Below are 25,116 nucleotides of genomic sequence, written 5' to 3'. Positions count from 1 at the left end.
AAAACTGTTGAGCTCTAGTATTTTAGAGCATCAGACATTATAAGGATACTCATTTCCTTGGTCTCCCAAATCAGAAAAGATTACAAACAGTATATACCATGTCTAACGGAGTTTATCCTTTGATAGGTAGCTATAATGATGATGATGATGGTGATGACGATGATGATGACAGTGGTTAGATTGGAAACTTGCAGCTTTATGTAATAATTTACAAATCCCAAGGGCCAAATTTAATTGCCGGCACTCTGATCACAAGTACCAGAACCAGGTCCCATCTCCTCACTACTCTAAGCACTGATGGGAGAAGACGGTCCTTTACATGATCAGACTGGACCCCACTGGTTTAAGAACCAAGCATGGCCAATCCTAGATGTGATAGACATCAGGATCCACACCTTGCTGGGCATGGACAAAGACCAAAAAACTTCCTTGCAGTTCTGTCTCAGCAGAACCTTCACTGTCTAACCTTTTTCTGACGTCTAGTCATTGCCATTTCCTAGCCTACATCTGTTGATTTCGTTAGTGATGCTATAAGAGGACCTTTCTATGATTTTTCCTACTTCAGCTAAGCCCACTTCAGGAGCCCACAGACATAGGAGCCACACTGAGAAACCTATTCTCTTTTTACATACTTTGTGGTAGTCATCAGCAGATTACTTTTTCTCCCAAGTCCTCCCATTTCTGATATTAAATTTCTGAGGCCTGTACCCTTTCTCCAGTTACTTTTTTTTTTTTTTTTTTTTTTTTTTTGAGGCAGAGTCTCACTCTGTCGCCAGGCTGGAGTCTAGTGGCAGAATCTCAGCTCACTGCAACCTCCACCTCTCAGGTTGAAGCGATTCTCCTGCCTCAGCTTCCCAAATACTTGGGACTACAGGCATGCACCACCACACCCAGCTAATTTTTGTATTTTTAGTAGAGACGGGGTTTCACCATGTTGGCCAGCATGGTCTCGATCTCTTGACCTCGTGATCCGCCCACCTCAGCCTCCCAAAGTGCTGGGATTACTGGTGTGAGCCATCATGCCCGGCCTCAAATTACCTAAGTCTCAAGCCTGCAGCCATCTATCCACGTCTGCTGGACTACAGGCTGCTGCCTACATAAGGCCAACCCAGTCTCTACAGTGCTTTTTACAATAACCCACCATGAATTGCAGATGGAGCCCCAGCTCCTTCCATTGAGAGCAATGAGATGAGGAGAGGAAGAGGGCAATCTCTCAACAAGTCAAACATTACAGAGCTTTGAGAACGTTAAGAAGTCCAGCCTGCACTAGCACATTGTAATTTATTTTTTGCCTCATTCTGCCTACCTCAGACCTTCAACTCCTCACTTTTCACATATCTGGAGGCTAATCCCATGTGAGAAACACTTAGGAAAACAAGTGTGACAACTCTGCCTGAGTCCCAGAAAGAAAGCTCTCTCTGAAGGGGCCCTTCGGTTGTTTTCCCAGGTGACATGTTTAAGACTTGATCCCTGTTGTCTGAATTCCTTTCTCACCACACCCAAGGTCATTTTAATGAAAATTCCAAAGTCCAAGCCAAGAGGATAGAGTTGCTCTTAATCCTTCAGCAGTGCCGTCATTTGATCCCTAGACCCGCTGGGGTGATTATTGTGTGTCTGCAGAGCAGGGCTAAGCAGGCAGGAGGAGGAAGTGGCTGCCCCTGCAGGAGGCCTGTTTCTGGCCCTTGTTTCTGTGCTGGTGCTGCTGCTACCTCCCAATCCCTCCCACCACCCTTTCTCCCTAACATCTCAAGATAATGCTGATGCTCATGGCTGTTCTTCACCTTTTGCGGAAGTTCACTAATTCATTAACATTTTGTTAATATGATTCATTGTATTGACAAAGTTGAATCAGCAAGTTATTTAATTCCTGGTTTTTTTGCATGCTCAGAGGAGCTAAGGTTGTGTGTGGAACGTGCAATTATAATTCTTGACACCTTTACATCTGTGACTTAGCATTTCATCACAAGGTTTAAAACTTGTGTTGTAAAAGGAAATGGAAAATGTTAAGAAAAACTTGAGTGCTTTAAAAAAAATTCTTTAATTTGTTTTTATCTTCTCTCTAACTTCCTGAGTGATGAGAGAATGAAAGCGCTGACGACCAAATGTCTGGGATGTTTTGGGACCTCTCTGTCCCCTGGGCCAGATATGGGAACATTCTCCAGTGCTGCAAGGACTAATCATCAGGCTCTCTTGCTCCTCACTAATGACCAGGCAGAGCAGCAGCCCCTGCTTCCTGTCACGCTGAACTCTGGAGGCCACTGATTGCGGCCCGGCCAACCTGCCGCCAGCCTTCAGCAAACCTGCCAAAGTCATCTGTTTCGATATTTTCTTGCCTCTTGAGATTAAAGGGGTACATCCTTCCCCACACTGTCTGAAGAGAACAGAGGGGTACACTCTGCTTCAGGGTGTAAAATGGACTCCTTTCTTTTCAGACCCTGGAGGCAAACATGTCTAGGGAATAGCACTCTGACAGGAGAGACTTTACTTCTATTAAAATACTCAGGCTTAAAAAGACTAGAAGCTTTAAGAGAGTTTTGGAAATGGAAACTGTAAGTAAAGACAAGATTTGAGGCATGACCATCATAAATAATGTCTCTAACATGCTCTTTTTTTTTCACCAAATATAAGCGTGCTTAGGAAATATAAAAATGAATCTGATTATTTTTTTCATAGGAATGATACCACATCAACTTTTAGTCCCTACACCTATACCTCTTTCTCCTTCCCTTAACATCCGGAATTTTCTCTCACAGGCTCTGTTCAGCTCTACCGGGGAGACAGGAAGAGATTAGGTAATGATCTGCTGCTGAAACAGCTCCCATAGCCTGGTGGCATGTAGTTCCCCTTCTGTTCTTCAAGACTGGCTGTAGGGAGCATCCCTGGATTTTGACTCTCAAAAGGCATGGTTAAACAGAATAGGAGTCTACTTCAAGTTGCTATGGATGATGTGTTTGAACTTCTTGATTTATTAAGATGTATTCCTAACTTCCTTAAGAAACAAGTGAGAAATTTTAGCTATTATTCTAATTCCTGTGAAAAGAAAAGAAAGAAGAAAAACAATGTATTATTTAGAAGGCCTACCAAGAGCCCAAAAGCTCGTTATCCCAAAAGACAATCTATAAACTTCACTGCCTAGCCCTGGCCTGGATCTGCACATGTGCACACACAGACATGCAGAACAGTGAAGTCACTTCAACTATAGCACTGCTGCTATTTCAGGAAAGCCAAAATAATCCTCTTCGTATAATTGTTGGCACCCAAATAACCTCATAAATAATAACAATAAAATGTTTTAACATTCCTACAGTTTTCAAATCCCACATTAACTCATAGGGTCCTCCAAAAACCCTGTGAGATGTGATTTTACTTACCTCTTTTTACAGAGAGGGACCTGAGGTTCAAGAAGGTACAGAAAATAAGAAAATGCAGCAGGGAGCAGAACCCAGGGCTTCTGACTCTGAATCCACAGTCAGATTCTAGTCTTGCATCTGTGATTACTCAACGGCCTGGTATACATTGGATATTGAATCTAAGTCTTTGATTCCTTTATTGCAAAAAGGATGAGAAGGAGAAGGAAGTAGACAAAGGTTGGACCAGTTGATATTTAAAGACTGTTAGTTTCCACAGTTCCATAAATCCAAAAGCCTTTTTAGGATATTTGAGTGGCCATGGCCTCTTCTCTGATTTCTTGAGAGCAATCAATAACGGCTTTTAGCCTCTTCTTTGTGTAAGGGAGAAGTCAACTGAAGTTACAGTGACCTTGAGATTTCCATCAAATCAGCAAATGCACATCTAATAAGAAGGCTGTTGCTCTTCTGAAAATCTCTGCAAATCTGTGTGGTATATGCCCTACAGTCTACATCAAGTTTTCTGTACCCACTGAAATCTAGACTTTAGCCTCAAGCAGCTGCTATTTTCACTCTTCCAATGAGGACTCTGATGTACCTGTGTCCCCTCTTTCCTCTACCCTACAAAGAACACTCAAGGAAGGCATTGGAGTATCTATTTAGCAGATTATACTGAAGTTTTTTCAGCAAGGGAGGTGGCATCAGAGCCCTTTACATTAATATTCATTTTGACACTTCTTAAAAGTACTCTACCACCCCAGCCCACATGGCTTTCTCATTGGCTGGCACGTCTCTAGAAACCCTTTGCCTGCTGTCCTGCTGCTCAGACCTTCCAGCACCACCATATGCAGGGGAGGAGGGAATGGAAGCCTAACCTTTTTTATTTAAAGGCAATAACAAGGAAACTTTCTAAATAAAAAGCCATCATCTCCAGCCATAGGAGCTTTCCTCCTCTAGGGGCAGAAATAGCTGTAATCAGTTGTGTTTTTAAATAGATTCTTTTTGTTTCTTATAGCGACACTGATGTCAGCTAATGTGATAGAGCAGAAAGAGCACTGAGTCTGTAGCCCAGGCCTCCTTCTGCGTCTAGATCTCAGTTTCTTTAACTGAAGTAGAAGGGTCTTGGAAAAGAAATGGATTTCTAACTTTTTTATGGAGGGGAGCTTCTTATTAATTCCTACTAAACGTGGGACTGTTCGAGAGGGAAGAAAAGAATGCACTGCTGCTCCTAGCTGCTGATGAGAGCACAGCGATTGAGCGCAAGGAAAGGAGGAAGCAGAGGAGCCCCACCAGCTCAGCCGAAAGAAGCCTGGCAGTGTGATGTGCTGATGAAAGTCTGAGAGCCTAGTCCTAATCCTAGCTCTAGGTTACACATACCAGTACTGATTGTAATCAGATCGCCTAACCTATTGTGTAAAAATATGTAATTTCTGCCCCATCTGTCTCACAGGGTTTATATGTGACTAAAAAGGAGTAATGTATATAAAACCATATAAAATGTTACTTAAAAATATATAACATTTAAGGCTGGGCATGGTAGCCCACACCTGTAATCCCAGCACTTTGGGAGGCCAAGGCAGGCGGATTGCTTAAGCTCGGGAGTTCAAAACCAGCCTGGGCAACATAGTGAGACCCTGTCTCTATTATTAAAAAAAGAAGAAGAAATATATATATGTATAATATTTACTCTTAGCTGGCAATCTCTCCCACTTAAACGGTCAGCAACATCAAGAAGCCATCCAGTGTAAACCATTCCTCCACTGTAGATTTCTATTAAATGGATCACCAATCCTACTTACCAGGATTGTCTTATGTCAGTTTTGTGTCAATTTTCTAAAACACAGTTATCTTAGGAAATGCAGGTAATCCTATGTAATGCCTGTGGGGGATATCTGATTGCAATTGTCATTTTGTATTGACATATTGGCACAGATTGGCTGTGTCTGGATCACATTTGAGATATGTGTTTTTATGAAAATTATATAAGGGGGAAGAGGAGGAAACATATACTTCCTCCCCTATATTTTCTTTTCAAAAAACACAAAATGTGGAGTACTTTCATATTATTGTTACTATTTTTATTATTATGTTTATCATTATTATTGTGATGTACAGATTATTTTCCACTCTGGCCATTTGCCTAGATATTATAAAGCCTCATCCTTTAAAATCAAGAGACAGTCTTCCTTTAGCTAGAACTGCCATCTTCCAGTGATCCATCAAAATGGGAAACACAAAGGGGAAGAGGGGAGGCACCCCATATACATTCTTTTGACCTTTTAGGAAACATGGAGTTGTTCCTTTGGCTACATGCATGAGAAACAGTTAAAAAAAAAAAAAAAGGTGATACTGTTGACATCCAGGGAATGGGTACTGTTCGAAAAGGAATGTCCCACAAATGTTGCCATAGCAAAACTGGAAGAGTCTAGAATGTTACCCAGAATGCTGTTGGCATTGTTGTGAACAAACAATGAAGGGCAAGATTCTTGCCAAGAGAATTAAAGTGCGTACTGAGCACATTAAGCACTCTAGGAGCCAAGATAGTTTCCTGAAACACGTGAAGGAAAATAATCAGAAAGAGAAGGAAGCCAAAGAGAAAACTACCTGGGTTCAACTGAAGCGCCAGTGTGCTCCACCCAGAGAAGCACACCGTGTGAGAACCAATGGGAAGGACCCTGGGGTGCTGGAACCTCTTCCTTATGTCATAATAGGTATTAAAAAAAAAAGACCTCTGGACTGAAAAAAATCAAGAGAAGATTTACAATGCATGGAAATAACTGTAATTTATCATATTAATTTGGGCTACCAGTAGCATCGTTTAGAGATTGTGCAAATTGAGTTCACAAATATCACAGCTTTGGAAGATCAAGAAGTGGTTTTGAACATAGAGATTCCAGGGAAAAAAAGTAATAATAAGATTAAGGTTCAAATCTGCAGTTAAATTAGGAAAATAAATAATTTTTACACAATAATTTATTTTGTCCAAGTTCAAGGAAAGATATTTTTAATTACATACACTACATTGCATTTTAGCATTATTTGTTTCTCTTTTTAAACATAGATTCTGTGGGCTTTTTGCCAGAATTACAACATTTCTACAAAGGATAAAAGAATAAAGTCACCCAGCAAGAGGTAACCACTGCGTGACTGCATAAACTGAAAGAAGGGCGCTTGAACCCATAGGGCTAATGTTACCGCAAACAACTTTTGATGGTTTCACCTGGTATCACCTTTTTCTTGTTCCTTTTCAGGAACCCTGGTTTCTAGAGCTTGCCTTATGGAGTGGGGGGTTAGAATCAGGAACTGCGCTGACCACAGAGGATCGGGCAACATCGACTGTGTGCTGTTTGCTAACTGAAAGTTCAGAGGGAGACAGTTTGGCCCCTCCTTGGACCTCTGGCTGAGAGAAGGGATGTACACGGAGTGGCACCAACACACCCAGGCAGACGCTCACATTATGAAACATAAATGCAGAGTGAACAAAGAGTGTTGCAAATCACTCAGCTTGGCTAGCTGCTGCCAAAGCAATTCAGTACTCCTCATGAAGCCTGCTCTGCATTCCAGAAAACAAAAAAAATAGAGGCCTGATAAGATAACCAGGTAATTAATGAAGCAATTTCCCCTTCCTGCTCACATGCCTGTATTTATTTTTTAATATAAATTATCATCATCTTAAGCAATAAGTACACTATCTTCCTGTAACCTTTAAGAACTTAGCCAAATGGAGCAGAACAAACAGTTCACGTCTTGGTGTCTATTTTGTTTTAGTTTTTAAGCTTACACCCACACACACAAAATCTTGTAAATATATTCAGCCTTTTTGGTTTTTTGGGTTGGTCTTTATTTTGCTTTGGCTTTTTCTTACTTTATTTTTACAGGACTTGTTTTGTTCTTTTAGTTTTATAGTCTGCTTTTTCCTAGGTTATATAAAATGGACACTTTTCAATGGTAGCAAATATTCATTTCCTCCAGTGAATTTTTAAATAATTTCAGCACCAAGATTACTTTTTCAACAACATTGTATGTGGATTCTAGTATATACAAATTAGACCTGTGCAGGCCCATCTCTTCCCTTGATACATAAACTTCTGAGGGAAGACAGCAGAACACAGGTCAAAAAATACTTCCCCTGCATCATTTCTCATGAACACATGGTATTACAGGTTCCCTGCTGTTCAATTAAAGATATTCTCGTACATTTTTTTAACCTTGCTAGGTAAATTATTCAAACAGCCAGAAGGGAAATAGTCTTAGAATTCTGTATTGGGCAAAATCATTAATGACTAGCTGGTAAGGGTCATGAATGATGCAAAAACACTTGCTCTGCCAATCTGTTTCATTCTGGACTCTGTGTTAAACTAATTTTTACAATTTGAGATTCTGGACTTTGTCAGAGAACTCACATATGCCAAATTGTTATGTAATCATTGAAATTACAAGGCTTTTGAAGCACTAAAGAGATAAATAGAACAGTTTGAGGGGTTTTTGGCCTGATCAAGGCAATCCATCTTTTGAATTACTTCTACAGCCATGCAAAGCATGATTTCCCAATGAAACTGTTACTCAGAATATTATCTCCAATGGCAGCCTGGCCTTCATCCTGACCATGGTTTCATTTGAAAATAATGTGCATTATAAAGGACAGTGGGCAGTGGGTCCCCTACAGAGCATTTTAGTTTAAGGGTCTAACTGATTATGACCAAGTTCCACTGGCACTCCAAATCATAAAGACAGTGCCATGTTCTATAGAGTTTCTTGATAGAATTTATGTATATCTCAATAGGCTGAAGGTTCAGAAGATTTCTGCCACACTAGATTGACAGAAGCTGATGGACAGGAACATGGAATCCTTGTGTTCTAATAGACAGTTAACTTGTGGTAGGTAGAATTTGCTGGACAGCTTTAAAATATGAACACACATGCTGCCCATCCTTTATGGGCAGAAACTCTACCATTTGTTCTCCAGAAAAAACAGGTGTGTGTGTGTGTGTGTGTGTGTGGGTGTGTGTGTGTGTGTGTGTGTGTGTGCAGACAAATGCTTTTAGCAATAAATGTCTTATTCCTTCATAGCCTCTTTGCCCCTTTTATGAAGAAGAATTATGTTAGGCTTTAGTGATATTTACTTCCATTTCTAATCAAAGTACATGTATTCAGCATATTCATATCTACATTAGACTGTAAAAGTAAAAAAAAAAAGCAATCATCCATGTATATAGTTTTGAATACAACAGCAACAGAAGTATTCAGTGAACCATCAGTCAAACAAGAAAATTTTGACAGACTAGCAACATATTATGAGAAACTATGAGAAGGGTTAAGAAATCAAGGGAGAAAATTAGATGATAGAGATGAGAAAAGGAAAAAATAAATGAAAGCAGGTGAAAATGTGAAAAGCAAGGAAGAAATAAGAATGTTCTTTAGAAGCAAAGCCTTGAGCAGAAGTTTAAAACATGGACACTAGTGTCAATTATTTAAAAATTATTTCACCTTTGTCCCAATTTCTTCTTCTAGAAAATGCATCCCACCTATATCATAAGGCTATTCCCAGGAGTACATGAGGAAATGCCAGTACAGCATTTAGCTCAGTAGTCAATGTGAAGTATATGCTTAGTATATGTTAGCTATATATATTAACATATATAACATTAAGTATAATTAACATTAAGGTTACATTAATTACCTCTGTGCAAACATGGTTTAGATGTCCCAGCATTCTAGGAAAAGCATCTAAGTCTTTTTCCAAAGTTTTCACTCTTCCCTGATTCCTTTGCCTCTCTTTCCTACTGTTTAATATCTAAAAAGTCATTCACAAAACAAAACGTCTCACTTTGCACAAGCACTCATGTTAGGGAAACAATCTAGTCCTTCCTTAAAAGTGGTTGCCATCTTTAAATTGAAATTTTTCTCTGTATTTCAATCTGATTTTTTTTTTTTAGTAAGAGAGACTTCTGAGGACAAAAGCCATATTTTCTTCTTTTCTAATCCATCACAGTAACCAATTCAAAACTGTTCATAAAGCAGATAATCAATACATTTGATTTAATGAATAATGTGCCTACTAAAGATAGAACAAGAAGCAGAGGTTAATTTTAAAAGTCTATCAAATTTCAGACTCCTAATGAGAATTCCTTGAGTCTTCTGGGTTTCACCTTTTTCACTATAATTGAAATGCCAAGCACAAACTGAGCAGTCTGCTAACAATCTGAAAAGAAAATATATTACAGTGATTGTACAGGGAAACTTGGAAGCGATTTTCTCCTGGGTTGGGGGTTTAAACAAACAGGAAGCCCTGTTTGGGATTTGTCTTCATCATCTTTCATCACAAGTCAGCCTGACTTCCTGATGAAGAAATGTGGAACTGCTTTCAGATTCTCAACCAGATTGGACAGAAATGCCAACTTTAAATGCAACTTTAAATTCAGAAGCTACTTCTGAATACCCACATTTCCATTAGACCACAGCTCTCTAAGTAAAATTTTGTCTCTTGATTTCTATAAGCAGTGGGCAGAAAATGGGCCTTTGTTCTAACCCCGTAGTTAAAGGATCACATTTTTTTCTATGACTGAGCATCCAGAGGGTATGAGGAGCAAACCATATAATCAAGAAGAATAAATTAATAATCATGGATTCCTTAAAGTGTTTTCTTCTCAGCATTAGCAGATAGTTTCTGTAGATACTTGAAAAAATATTACTTATGAAATGAAACTTTGAACACTCTATTAAAATCTTATAGTGATTTCAGAATAGAAAGTACAAAATATCTCACAATTTGTCTCTAGTCCATATATCTAAAATATACTTTTCAAAATTAGCAATTTCTTGTTAAACTTCAAATTTCATAAAGCTGTTTTGTTTAAACTACCATTACTAAAAGAACAAATATAGCAATTTTCAGGTTTAAGTAAAACTTGAGGATTTTTTTAATTCAAATAGATAATTTTCTACAAAAAGCCCTAGATAAATTGATGATGATTCTACATACCTAAAGAAGATGATGCCAAAATTTGAAGACACAGATTGAAATGACTAGTATTTTATCTAATATTAAGTAGAAAAATGCAAAATCAGGACTCTTCGTACTCTCAAAATTATGTTGAACTATACAATATTTTTAACAATATATGCCACACTGTGCAATAGAACTAAATACATATACACACACACACACACACACACACACACACACACACATATATATATTCCTCATGCCTCAGTGAGATTTTTAACACTTTGGTCATCATCTTCCCATCCTCTGTAATGTCACTTTGTACCCCATAAATTTATACAATTATAAATTGACAATTTATAATGAAAAATTAAAAAATAAAAATTATATTGACATCAATTCTCACCATAGACATTTATCTACTGGGGCTAGATATATTTTTCACCTTTTGAATTTTCAAAACCTTTTCTCACTGGTGTTTCCCAATATGATTTATTTCAAGTCTCCATTCTTATAATATTCTTGAAAATGTTGGATTAACATAAGAAAGGAAGAGCTTTTATAATACAGAGAAGGAAATTAAGAGCAGATTCATCAAATATGATTTTTATCAGACTAACAACAATACACGTCTGCAATTTAAATATATCTTGACTCAGTTAAATTCTAGAAGGCATTGTTTAATGTCAAAGCCCAGAGGAAGACACTCTAGGCAACTACCACATCACAAATATTCCAGATGTTTCTGGAACACACAGTTCCCTCCCCACTATCAGCCTGTGACGACCACCATTCAGCCTTTTGCACTATTATTCTAAATTGCATGTTGAATGTTTATGTTAAAAAAACAAAACAAAAGAAAGAGGAAAATAAACTTGAACGAAAACATACTTTGTTTTCTGTCCAAGAAAATAAAATGTGCATTTATTGACAAACATATGAATGAATTTCCTTAGAATGATGTAACCCCTCCAAAAAAAATCACAGAAGTCATCACCATGGGTGGTAGGATGCTGAGTTTCCCACAGGAAGCAGCATAGGTAATTGCTTGTTTGTTTTTGTACTGAGAGCATTCTATTATGTGCCTACGGGTTTCTTCTATGAGAAAATCTGCTGATGGGCCATTTTGTTTCACGCATTTTGTAGGTATTTGTCTCATGTGTTTAGAAAGTCCATTATCTTAATATGTGTTCTGTAGAAGAAATGAGTAAATGGGAAATACATGTGGTTGGCAAACAAGCTATACTATGACATAAGAAAAAAATCTACAAATAATGTAAACATATGAATTCCACCTTTTAAAATATAGTCCCTTCTGGAATAAGACTGCAAATTGGAGAAGAGCTAAATTATCTGTCCAGTTAAGTTGTCTGAAAGAAATTTAAAGTCAGGCCACTATCAGGCAAGCCCCATGAAAGGAAGTAAAATTCCTTCGTCAGTCACTGCCTTCATCCCCACGGATCCCAGTGAGGTCAATTTAAGAGTTCTACAAATAACCGTGGTTGGTGTACACTGAACCACATAGCATGCTAGAAGGTGGGGATACAGAAATGAATAATATGTGGTCCCTGCTGTCACAGAATTTATTCCATCAGAAAAACACAGACCCATAAACAGGCCATTCCAAAGTAACAGGGTCTATAATGACAGAGCTATTCCCAGCGAGCAGTTGAATCCAAAGGAAAGGAGGGTACTTGGCTCAGTAGGAAGAAGGCAAAAGCCTCATGGAAGCCTTCCCAGAGGAGACAAGCTCTGTGCTGAGCTTGGAAGAATGGATTGGAGACTTGGAGTCGGTAAGGTAAAGATGGGCAGACAAACATTACACAAGAAGCACCGACACATAAATTCAAAGCAGGATGTGATGTGCCGGGCACTGAAAGACAGTATCACCAGGGTACAAATTTTAAAGTGGGAAGACAAGGCTGCAAGAGCGCAGACCTTAGGGAATATGTGTACCACGTTCAGGAGCTTGGATGTTATCCAGTGGGTATTGGGAAGCACCTGAAAAACAGAACTCCTCCAATTCCTTCATGTCTCTCCCTTGTCACCAGCACATAGGACAACAGGGAAGTTACCCCCATTGGAAACAGGGGAGTGGAGGAGCCGGACCAGCCTGTTCTTTCTCCCCACCCCGCTGCCATCCTGAATTACTGTGTATTCTCCCTGTGCGGCCCCACTGGATTGAACATAGAGTATCTGGGACACAGAATAGAAGGGTAATAAGCTTCACAAAGAAGCGATATTAGAAAAAGACGTTAATTCTAATGCATGGCAAGGGAAAAAAACCATCAATAGCTAGAAATCAGAGAAGGAAGGCGAAGCATGAGCAAAGGAGATGGCACATGTAGAGGTGTGGGAAAATACATGCAAGGATGAGAGCCGAATATCCAGGAACACACTGGAAAGCATGTAAATCACTGCAAGAGAGTAGGCCTAGGTTTGTTTCACATGTGAAACAGTGTTTCGATGCTCAAATAAGTTATTCCTATACATATTGTAGTAGGTATATGATGGTATCTATTCTAAAATCTTCACATGGAAATCGGTCCCTACTTTATGTCATGGTCTATATTCACATAACAAATGAAATTAACCAGAAAAAAATATATATTGGAAATATTGAGTGAGAGAGTTGATCTGAGCGAGGGGAAAAAAACATAGGAAGAAGGAAGGCTGGACAAAGAAGAAGAGACATAAACAACTACAGCGATAACAGTAATTATAGAATGCTTACGATGTGCTACTATGGGCAGTTAAGGGCCTTCAGTGCATCTCATTTAATTCTCAACAGACTATTATTTTCCCCATGTTACAAGTGAGGAAACTGAAACTTAGAGGGTTTGAACAGTAGAGATGCTAAACTGAGGCCATGCAGGTAGTATATGGCAGGACTGGAACTGGAATCCAGGCAGTCAGAATCCAAACCCCCTAAGAGGGAAGAGATTGCCCTAGTAAAGAGAATAACTACAGGTTTTAACAATGCATTTAGTGAGGCAATACAAACAAAAAACAAACAAAATCCTAACAACAACAAAAACAGACTTCCTTGTGCAGAAATGTCATGAAAAAAGAAGAAACTAGGCTAGGGGTGGTGGCTCACGCCTGTAATCCCAGCACTTTGGGAGGCCGAGGCAGCTGGATCACTTGAGGTCAGGAGTTCAAGACCAGCCTGGCCAACATGGTGAAACCCCATCTCCACTAAAAATACAAAAAGTAGCTGGGCATGGTGGCGGGCGCCTGTAATACCAGCTACTCGGGACGCTGAGGCAGGAGAATTGCTTGAACCTGGGAGGCGGAGGTTGCTGTGAGCTGAGATTGCACCACTGCACTCCAGCCTGAGCGACAGAACGAGACTCTGTCTCCAAACAAACAAACAAACAAAACTAGTTTAATTGTCTCCAGAATGTCTGTGATAAAAAATTAACATCTGTACTCTTTTTCCAGCATGCTCCAAGTATAGACCATTATGAGGCACAGTAATTTGTTACTACTAACGAAGAATCTTAGATTATAAATGAAAATTCTGTAGGGAAAAAATAATGTCACACATCTAGAAAGAAACTATGAACAATATGCCTTACTTGATACGCGTACACATATTCTCCTAAAGGGAAAAAAAAAATTGCCATGCGTGTAAGTCCTGGCTACAAAAGAAAGGGATTTGCCTAAAGTTCTGACAGTGGAAGTGAAAAAAATCACTTTAGAAAAGGTCTCTTGTCAGCAAAATAAATTTCTAATTAGCCGTATCTTTCAATCAGCTAAATAAAGAGAGCAACTAATTACTCTGACCAGGAATTTCTTTATTCAATATTTTTTAGTCATCACTAATAGCCTTGAGAGCTTCATGATTCTGAATATTTCTTCATATTCAGGCAGAGTTAATCTGACTGTTGGGTCTGATTGCTCTGTAAAAGGACACTGCCCTGAAAATTGTTATATTCCATAAACTACAGGTTAGTTCAAACATGTAATAATGCCAGCTTCAAGAAGACAGTCCATAAAGTCATCATTTTATACCTCTAATTTTTATATTAATCTTTTTTAAAATAGTGCCTTTATCATCATTATTAATACTTACTGGTGGCTGATGACATCTTTAAATGATCAATGCAGACTTACATTCCAAACATCCTAAAATTCATTGATTCAGCAAATTTGTATCAAATGTCTAACAGGTCAATGAACTATAGAGGATGTTTTAGTGATAAGTAAGACAGGGAGTTGGAAACCAAGGGCCTTACAATTTAGTCAGCATCTCTTTTTATCAAATAACTCCCATAATCAAAGCGTAAATACTTAAATAAACTCACAGGCTAATCTTCCCCAGTACCTCTAAGCAAAGTTTATCTCCTAAGGGGCGATCTTTGTTCTATTTTCTGCATAACTTAACCATATTAAGAAACCCAGCCCATTTAGTAAGACTTCTATTTCTATGTCAATGGTGAATATGATGCCTGAAATTTTTACTTTTTCTTTCCAAATGCAGCAAAGTTCTAAATGTTCTTGTGGAGGAAGAAAACCAACTACAGAAATTATTTACTTTTTTAAAATTTTAAATGTGACATCTTCAAGTCATACTTTACACGATAAAACATTTCCACTTGCTGACGTGCTCCCCTCTAGCTGAAATGACACAATCATTTCAACCCACTGAATTTAAAATTGAAATACCTCTTTCTTCTTTCAGAAAGAAAGAGCCACCCTATGATTAAAATTTCCCACAGTTGCTTTTAAAGTGCTTAACATTTAAAAAAAAAAAAAAGTTTTTCTCTATTTTTATCGGAAATTACCCTCCCTACACAAACACTGTGGCTGGCTCTATGAGTGGCTTTGCAATAGTAGCCTTGCCCTCCCTCCATTCTCTGACTCTTTCTAGGAGTGCAAATGGACAGCTAGCTGCCTTTGAGGATTTTCTATCTTGTTCCACAGCCTCCCTCCAAACACTGGTTCCTTTCCCCTTTCCAGCGGCAGCTTCCCTCACATTGCTGAACAGCACAAAATGTCCTCTCAATCTGGTACTAGTTGCTATAGGAAATTGAGTTTTCAGATGATACAACGTTTAAACCAAATAACCTACTTAAACCTTTTCAAGTAAGAATATCTCTGAATTACTCCTGAGGTCATTATGTTTCCCTCTGCACTGCCTTTATTGGGCCATCGTCATTATTAAGTTATTTATTCACCCAACACTTTCTAAACATCTCTATTATGCAAATCACTTTACTAGGCCCTGCAGGAGAGAACTTTATGAAATTGGCACCTGCCTGCCCTCTGGTAACTCAGTCTAGAGGAGGCCCATGCCAGCCTACATAGCTCTATTACAGGGAAACGCTACCGAAGTGCTAGAATAGAGGAGGGGAAAGGCAGAGGGAATGGGAATGTCAGGAAGAGAGTAGGGCTCGCAAGATTCTCGGGGGAGTTGTTGACCTTGGCAAGAAAAGATTTTATTGATGTTTTGAGATTCAGCTAAATGAAAGCATAAAAAAGCACAAAAATTACTGAAATAAAGTAAAGAGGGACCACAATTCCAAACCATTAAAACACAAATTGGTATTCTTTTTTGGAATAAGGACCTGCCTAACAAAATCTCAATGTTTGTAGCTTGGGGGAAATCCCTGAGAAATAAAATAAAGATTCATAAGACTCAAGTTTTAAACCTTACTAATCTTAAGGCATCAACTATGTGTCTCCAGAGACCTGGGTGAGACCAGAACTCCTCTTTAGCTTATTTCCATTCCATTCTCAAGAATCTCCACTAATCCTTGCCACTCTCCCCAGACAAAATTCCTTTGGTCTGCATGGTTCAGGTTTAATGAAGCCACAATGATGCCTTCGCCACATTAGTATATGGCTTTTCCACATTCAATGTTCATTCAACAAACATTTGCTGAGCACCTATTACCTGCAAGACTCTTAGCTAAGGGAAGCAAAGATGAATAAAACACAGTTCTTATCTTTAAGGTGCTCACAGCAGGAGATCATGCATATAAACAGCTACCTGAAACAAAATATGAGAAACCCTGAAAGATTTGTAAGTAAGGAGCTGGGGACAAACAAGAGAGGGGCAAGTAAATTGACAAAGAGAAGGAAAGGAACCTTCGAAGACTTCACAGCAAGGAGACCTTGAGGAGCATGCAAAAGTATGCTCACTCTTTGCCTACAGGATGGTAACCAAATTTCTGGGAATGAAAGCAAGAGTCAGAGTTTAAAGGAGAAGATTTAAAAGGGTGAAGTATGCACTGTTAAGGGGTCTGCACCCATCCTCTAGGCATTAGGAAGAACTTTAAGCTACTTAGAACTTTTTTTTAATCCATCACCTCAAGCATTTATTTTTTCTTTTTGTTACAAACAATCCAATTATACTCTTTTAGTTACTTTTAATGTATAATAAGTTACGTTGACAGTAGTCACCCAGTTGTGTTATCAAATACTAGATCTGACTCATTCTAACTATATTTTTGTATGCATTAACCATCACCACTTCCCCCTTATCCATGACCCATCCCACCTGCTGATAACTATCATTCTACTCTCTATCTCCATGAATTCAATTGTTTTATGTTTTATCTCCCACAGATAAATGAAAACATGTGAAGTTTGTCTTTCTGTGTCTAGTGTATTTCACATGCCATAATGACCTCTAGTTCCATCCATGTTACTGCACGTGACAGGATATCATTCTTTTTTATGGCTGAATAGTGCTCCATTGTGTACATATACCACATTTTCTTTATCTATTCATCTGTTGATAGACAATGATGTTGCATCCAAATCTTGCTTATTGTGAATAGTGCTGCAATAAACATGGGAATGCAAATATCTTTTTGATATACTGATTTCCTTTCTTTGGGGTATATACCTAGCAGTGGGATTCCTGGATCATACGGTAGTTCTATTTTTAGTTTTTCGAGGAAACTCCAAACTGTTCTCCATAGTGGTTGTACTAATTTACATTCCCATCAAGAGAGAAAGAGGGTTCTCTTTTCTCCACATCCTTGCCAACATTTGTGTTTGTCTGTTTTGCATTACTAAAGACTGTTAAACAGAACGAATATATATATGTTATGTTTGATATATACAATATATATGTTATATATATGTTATATATGTAAAGAGGTACTGTTATACTAATGTTAAAATTATTTTTCTGATAATATAATCGACATTATATTATGGGCCAAGCATGGTGGCTCATGCCTGTAATCCCAGTACTTTAGGAGGTCACGGCAGGTAGATCGCTTGAGGCCAGGAGTTCAAGACCAACCTGGGCAACATGGCAAAACACCATCTCTACAAAAATACAAAAAAAAATTAGCCAGGTGTGGTGGCATGCACCTGTAGTACCAGCTACTTGGGAGGCTGAGGTGGGAGGATCACCTGAGCCCAGGAGAAGGAGGCTACAGTGAGCCATGATCATACCATTGCACTCCAGCCTGGGTGACAGAACTAGACCCTGTCTCAATAAATTAAATAAATAAATAAATACATATGTACATAATGAGAGAAATAAAGCTAAAAGCAGTAAAGTGAACTGAGAGACTACTCTAATAGTTAAGGTGAGAGATGAAGAAGATTTGAAGTTAGTGAAAATTGGGATTAAGAGAAAGACACAGAGAACTACTTCAAATGTATAATTGATAAGTTTTTGTTTTGGGTTTTGGTTTGGGTCAGGGTCTTGCTCTATTACTCAGGCTGGAGTTCAGTGGCATAATCATGGCTCACTGCAACCTCAACCTCCTGGACTCAAGGGGTCCTGCCACTCAGCCTCCTAAGTATCTGGGACAACAGACACATACTACCACACCCAACTAATTTTTAAAATTTTTTTAGTAGAGACAGGATCTCATATGTTGCCCAGGCTGGCTTTGGACACCTGGCTTCAAGCAATCCTCCTGACTCGGCCCCCCAAAGCTGGGATTACAGGCTTGAGCCAAATGCCCAGCCTTAATTGATAAGTTTGGTTACCAGTTACATAAGTGCAGCTCAGGCACTGAGAAAAATTTAGGAGGGCCTCTAGGTTTCTGACTTGGAGAAGGGGCTGCAGAATTTCCATTAAGGTATATTGAGACTTGATTTATGTCCAAGCACATCATTAATCTTAGAGAATGTTCTGCATGCAGATGAGAAGAGTGCATATTCTGTGGTTGTTGGTTGGAGTACTCTGTAGATGACTATTTGGCCCAATCAGCAAAGTATCAAATTTAAGTTCATAATTTCTTCATTGGTTTTCTGCCTTGATAATCTGTCTAATGCTGTCAGTAGGGTGTTGACATCTCCTCCATTATTCTGTGGATGTCAAAGTCTTTTCTTAGGTCTAGGAGTAATTGCTTTACCAATTTACTTCTGCTAGGTAAAACATTAGGTTGTTTTATGTCTTCTTTATAAAGGCATTTAGCTGTATAAACTTTCCTCTTAACGCTACTTTTGCTGCATCCCAGAGGTTTTGGTATATTATGTATCTATTTTCATTTGTTTCAATAATTGTTCTGCACACAGAACCTCCTCTAAGATTGACCACATGCCTGGACATAAATCAAATCTCAATATAGCTTAATAACAATTCTGCACCTCCTTCAACAATAATTTGCTTTACCAATTGCTTTACCAATATTGGACGTGTATATATTTAGAATAGTTAACTCTTCTTGTTTAATTGAACCCCTTATCATTATGTAATGCCCTTCTATGTCCTTTTTTTACTGTTGTAGGTTTAAAAAGTCATTTTAAAGTTTACCATTTGCATAATAGATCTTTCTACATCCCTTTATTTTGAGCCTTTGGTCATCATTAAATGTAAGATGAATCTCTTGAGGACAGCAGAAGGATGGGTCTTTTTTTGTTGCTCAATTTACCACTCTATGTCTTTTAAGTGGAGCATTTACACTGCTTAATAACTTCAAAAATATCAAATTTATACCAAGTAGCTTCTCAGACCACAGTGGAATAAAAATAGAAATCAATACTAAGAGGAACTCTTAAAACCACATAAATACATGGAAATTAAACAACTTGCCCCTAAATGACTTTTGGGTAAAAAACAAAATTAAGGCAGAAATCAAAAAACTTTTTGAAACAAATGAAAATAGACACAGCACACCAAAACATCTGGGATGTGGGAAAAGCAGTATTAAGAGGAAAGTTTATACTGCTAAATGCCTTCATAAAGAAGACATAAAACAACCTAATCTTGCACCTAACAGAAGTAGAACAAGAACAAACTAAACCTAAAGCTAGAAGAAGAAAAATATATAAAATCACAGCAGAATTAAAAGAAATTGAGATCCCCAAAAAACATACAAAGGATCAATGAAAAATTGGTTCTTTGAAAGGATTATCAAGGTTGATAGACTGATAGCTAGAATAACCAAGAAAAAAAGAGAGATTCAAATAACACAATCAGAAATAACAAGGGTGACGTTAGAACTGATCCCACAGAAATACAAAAGATCCTTATAAACTACTATGAACACCTCTATGCACACAAACTAGAAAATCTAGAGGAAATGGATAAATTCTTGGAAACACACAACCTCTCAAGATTGAACCAGGATGAAACAGAAATATTGAACACACCAATAGCAAGTAATGAAAATGAATCAGTAATAAAAAGAAAAAAAAAAACCAACCACAAAAAAGCTCTGGACCAGATAGATTCACAGCCAAATTCTCCCAGATGTACAAAGAGCTGGTACCAATCCTACTGAAACTATTCCAAAAAATTGAGGAGAAAGGACCCTTCCCTAACTCATTCTACAAATCAGCGTCATCCTGATACCAAAATCTGGCAAGGGCATACGAAAAAAAAAGAAAACTACAGGCCAATATCCCTGATGAACATAGATGCAAAAATGCTCAACAAAATACTAGCAAACTGAATCCAGCAGCGCATTAAAAAGTTAGTTCACCATGATCAAGTGGGCTTTATTCCTGGGATGCAAGGATGGTTTAACAGACACAGATTAAGAAATGTGATTCATCACACAAACAGAATTAAAAACAAAAACCAAATGATCATCTCAATAGATGAAGAAAAAGCTTTGCATAAAATCCAACAACATTTATGATAAAAACCCTAAACAAACTAGGGATTGATAAGAGCCGTCTATGACAAATTCACAACTAACATCACAATGAATGGGTAAATGCTGGAAGCATTCCCCTTGAGAAGTGAAACAAGAAAAGGATGCCCACTGTCACCACTGCTATTCAATATAGTACTAGAAGTCCTAGCCAGAGCAATCAGATGACAGAAAGAAATAAAAGGCAGCCAAATAAGAAAAGAGGAAGTCATCTGTAATCACTGACAACATGATTCTAGACCTAGAAAACCCTAAAGATTCTGCCAAAAGACTTGTAGACCTGATAAACAACTTCAACAAAGTTTCAGGATACAAAATCAACATACAAAAATCAGCAGCATTTCTTTTTTTTTTTTTTTTTTTTTTTTTTTTTTTCAGATGGAGTCTTGCTCTGTCTCCAAGGCTGGAGTGCAGTGGTGCAATCTCGGCTTACTGCAGCCTCCTCCTCCCAAGCTCAAGCAATTCTCCTGTCTCAGCCACCCAAGTAGCTGGGACTATAGGCACACGCCACCATGCCCGGCTGATTTTTGTATTTTTAGTAGAGACGGGCTTTCACCATGTTGGCCAGGATGGTCTTGATCTCCTGACCTCGTGATCCTCCTGCCTTGGCCTCCCAAAGTGCTGGAATTTCAGGCATGAGCCACCGCACCTGGCCAATCACCAGCATTTCTATACACCAAACCTGAGAACCAAATCAAGAATACAATTTCATTTACAATAGCCACAAAAAATAAAATACTTAAAAAAAATAAGATATGTAGATGACACAAACAAATGGAAAACTATTCTATGCTCATGGGTTGGAAGAATCAATACCATTAAAATGTCCATACTGCCCAAACCAATCTACAGATTAAATACTATTCCTATCAAATTACCAGTGTCACTTTTCACAGATTTAGAAAAAACTATTCTAAAATTCATATGTAACCAAAAAAGAGCTCAAATAGCCAAGGCAATCCTAAGTAAAAACAAAAAAGCCAGTAGCATCACATTACCCAATTTCAAACTGTGCTATAAGGCTACAGTAAACAAAAGAGCATGGTAATGGTACAAAAATAGACAGACCAATAAAACAGAATGCAAAACCCAAAAATAGAGCCACACACCTACAATCCACTCCTCTTTAGCAAAGTCAACAAAAATAACAATGGGAAAAGGATATTCTATTCAATAAATTGTGCTGTAAAAACTGGCTAACCATATGCAGAAGAATGAAACTGGACTCTGATCTCTTACCATATACAAAAATTAAGACAAGATGGATTAAAGACTTAAATCAAAGACCTCAAACTATAATAATCCTAGAAGAAAAGCTAGGAAATACTCTTAGACATTGTCCTAGGCAAAGAATTTATGATGAAGACTCCAAAACAAATGCAACAAAAGAAAAAAATAGACAAATGGGACTTAATTAAACTAAAGAGCTTCTGCACAGCAAAAGAAACCATCAACAGAGTAAAGAGACAACCTACAGAATGGGAGAAAATATTTTCAAATTATGCATCTGACAAAGGTTTAATATCCAGAATCTATAAGAAACTTAAATCAACATGAAAAAACAAGTAACACCATTAAAAAGTAGACACTTCTCAAAAGAAGACATACAAGAGGCTAACAAATATTTGAAAAAATGCTCATCATGATTAATCATCAGATAAATAAATGCAAATCAAAACCACCATGAACACCATCTCACACCAGTCAGAAAGGCTATTATAAAAAAGTCAAAAAATAACAGATGTTGGTGAAAGGGAATGCAGAGAGGGAATGCTTATACACTGTTGGTGGGAACGCAAATTAGTTCAGTCCTGGTGGCAAGCAGTTTGGAGTTTTCTCAAAGAACTAAAAATAGAATTACCATTTGACCCAGCAATCCCATTTCTGGGTATATATTCAAAGATAAATAAATTGTTCTATCAAAAAGACACATGCCCTTGTATGTTCCCTACAGGACTATTCAAAATAGCAAAGACAAGGAATCAACCTAGGTTCCCACCAATAGTGAATTGGATAAAGAAAACATGGTACCCACACACCATGGAATATTACACAACCATAAAGAAGAACAGAATCATGTGTTTTGCAGGAACTTGGATGCAGCTGGAGGCCATTATCATAAATGAATTAATGCAGAAACAGAAAATGAAATACCCCATGTTCTCACTTATAAGTGGGAGCTAAACTTTGGGTACATCCAGACACAAAGATGGGAAAAATAGATGCTGAGGACTCCATAATGGAAAAGTGGGGGATACAAGGTTTGAAAAACTACCTATCAGGTATTATGTTCACTATTTGGGTGACAGGATCATTAGAAGCCCAAACCTAAGCTTCACGCGAAATACCCATGTAATAAATCTGCACATGTACCCCCTGAACCTAAAATAAAAAAATAAAATATTTTAAAAAGGAAATAGCCCTCTTTAAAAAACAGTTATGCTGAGCACAATAAAGGTAGAGCTGTTTAAGGCAGAAGAAAATAAGGTGATTGAAGCTTACTAACTATGAGTTACACATTAGCAATTCAAATTGATTCATCCAGAAGTTAGCTGAGAAAATTTATGACAACATCTTGCTCCCCACACAAAGATATATGGGAAAAGTAGAGAAAAGAACTCAGGTTGATTGTATCTTAGACTAAAATAAACATTCAACAGAAAGATAGCTGGAAAATCTCAAAATACTTGGAGATTAAACAACACATTTCTAAATAATACACAGAGCAAAAATAAATCTCAGGAAAATTTTTAAAATATTTTGAACTCAATAAAGATGAAAACACAACAAAATTTGTGGGATACAGTAAAAACAGTGCTTAGAGAAAATTTATAGCACTGAATGCATATATTAGAAAAAACAAAGACTAAAATTGATCGTCTAAACTTCTACCTTAGGAAACAGGGGTGTTGGGAGCAGGGAAGAGCATATTAAATCACAAGTAAGCACAAAAAAAAAGGAAACAAAAAAATTAAAGCAGAAATCAATGAAACTTACAAAAGGAAATACAGAAATAAATGAAACCAAAAGCTAGATATTTGAAAAGAGCAATAAATTAATGACCTCTAGACAGGCTAAGAAAAACAGAGAAAAGACACATATTACTAACATGAGAAATAAGAGGGGACATCGCTACAGATGGCGTGAACATTAAAAAGAAAATAAAAGAACATTTTAAACAACTCTTTGCTCAGAAATTTGGTAACCTAGATGAAATGAACCAATTCCTTAAAAAACACAATCTACCACAGGTCACACAAGAAGAGATACATAATTTGAACAGCACTATATTAAAGAAATTGAATCAGTAATTAATAGCCTTCAAAACAGAAATCACTAGGGCCAGATAGATTTAACTGGTGAATTCTACCAAACATTTAAGGAAGAAATTAAACCAATTTTCTACAATCTCTTTCAGAAAATAGAAGTCGAGCAAGTACTTCCTAATTCATTCTATGGAGACACAATTACCCTAATACAATAATGTGTACAGTGTGTCAGTGTAAATTCATTAATTAACAAATGTACCACTCTGGTGCAGGATTTTGATAGTGGGGAAGGCTGTATGAATGTGAGAGGAGGGAGATATGGGAAATCTCTATACCTCTGTCCAATTTTGCTGTGAATCTAAAACTGCCCTAAAAAATGAAGTCTATTTTTAAAAACAAGATACTTAAAAAGTAAACATTGAAGCATCACCTTTTTAAATGTAATTTATTTCTTTTTTTTTTCCATAAGTTATTGGGGTACAGGTGATATTTGGTTACATGAGTAAGTTCTTTAGCAGAGATTTGTGAGCTGTATACACTGCACCATATTTGTAGTCTTTTATCCCTCGTCCCCATCCTACTCTTCCACCCAAGTACCCTAAGTCCATTGGATCATTTTTTTGTTATTATACCTTAAGTTTTAGGATACATGTGCACAATGTGCAGGTTAGTTACATATGTATACATGTGCCATGCTGGTGTGCTGCACCCATTAACTCGTCATTTAGCATTAGGTATATCTCCGAATGCTATCCCTCCCCCCTCCCCCCACCCCACAACAGTCCCCAGAGTGTGATGTTCCCCTTCCTGTGTCCATGTGTTCTCATTGTTCAATTCCCATCTATGAGTGAGAACATGCGGTGTTTGGTTTTTTGTCCTTGCCATACTTTACTGAGAATGATGATTTCCAATTTCATCCATGTCCCTACAAAGAACATGAACTCCTCCTTTTTTATGGCTGCATAGTATTCCATGGTGTATACATGCCACCATTTTCTTAATCCAGTCTATCATTGTTGGACATTTGGGTTGGTTCCAAGTCTTTGCTATTGTGAATAGTGCTGCAATAAACATATGTGTGCATGTGTCTCTATAGCAGCATGATTTATAGTCCTTTGGGTATATACCCAGAAATGGGATGGCTGGGTCAAATGGTATTTCTAGTTCTAGATCCCTGAGGAATCGCCACAGTGACTTCCACAATGGTTGAACTAGTTTACAGTCCCACCAACAGTGTAAAAGTGTTCCTATTTCTCCACATCCTCTCCAGCACCTGTTGTTTCCTGACTTTTTAATGATTGCCATTCTAACTGGTGTGAGATGGTATCTCATTGTGGTTTTGATTTGCATTTCTCTGATGGCCAGTGATGATGACCATTTTTTCATGTGTCTTTTGGCTGCATAAATGTCTTCTTTTGAGAAGTGTCTGTTCATATCCTTTGCCTATTTTTTGATGGGGTTGTTTGTTTTTTTCT

General features: G+C 37.8%; 2 long non-coding RNA genes and 1 pseudogene across 2 annotated transcripts in view, besides 3 other annotated features; 2 read left to right on the top strand and 1 right to left on the bottom strand.

The window, feature by feature from the left end:
- Positions 1-25,116, bottom strand: part of LINC01091 (long intergenic non-protein coding RNA 1091) — a 280,788-nt gene that overhangs the window by 178,981 nt on the left and 76,691 nt on the right. The gene's annotated exons all lie outside the window — the stretch shown is intronic.
- Positions 1,015-1,598: an enhancer, noted in NCBI's record as "NANOG-H3K27ac-H3K4me1 hESC enhancer chr4:124671355-124671938 (GRCh37/hg19 assembly coordinates)". NCBI's record gives its function as "activates a minimal SCP1, AML or CMV promoter by ChIP-STARR-seq in primed H9 embryonic stem cells {active_cell/tissue: H9 hESC(primed)}" and the evidence as "EXISTENCE:reporter gene assay evidence [ECO:0000049][PMID:30033119]".
- Positions 1,599-2,182: an enhancer, noted in NCBI's record as "NANOG-H3K27ac-H3K4me1 hESC enhancer chr4:124670771-124671354 (GRCh37/hg19 assembly coordinates)". NCBI's record gives its function as "activates a minimal SCP1, AML or CMV promoter by ChIP-STARR-seq in naive and primed H9 embryonic stem cells {active_cell/tissue: H9 hESC(naive and primed)}" and the evidence as "EXISTENCE:reporter gene assay evidence [ECO:0000049][PMID:30033119]".
- Positions 2,183-2,768: an enhancer, noted in NCBI's record as "H3K4me1 hESC enhancer chr4:124670185-124670770 (GRCh37/hg19 assembly coordinates)". NCBI's record gives its function as "activates a minimal SCP1, AML or CMV promoter by ChIP-STARR-seq in naive H9 embryonic stem cells {active_cell/tissue: H9 hESC(naive)}" and the evidence as "EXISTENCE:reporter gene assay evidence [ECO:0000049][PMID:30033119]".
- On the top strand, positions 5,531-6,085 carry RPL21P50 (ribosomal protein L21 pseudogene 50; annotated as a pseudogene).
- On the top strand, positions 6,125-7,079 carry LOC124900775 (uncharacterized). The gene is made up of 3 exons (XR_007058264.1): positions 6,125-6,253; positions 6,409-6,479; positions 6,599-7,079. It is a non-coding gene; the product is annotated as an uncharacterized LOC124900775 (long non-coding RNA).

Source organism: Homo sapiens, chromosome 4 (assembly GCF_000001405.40).
Source record: "Homo sapiens chromosome 4, GRCh38.p14 Primary Assembly".
NCBI classification, from domain to species: domain Eukaryota; kingdom Metazoa; phylum Chordata; class Mammalia; order Primates; family Hominidae; genus Homo; species Homo sapiens.
This window is presented reverse-complemented; position numbering and strand designations above follow the sequence as displayed.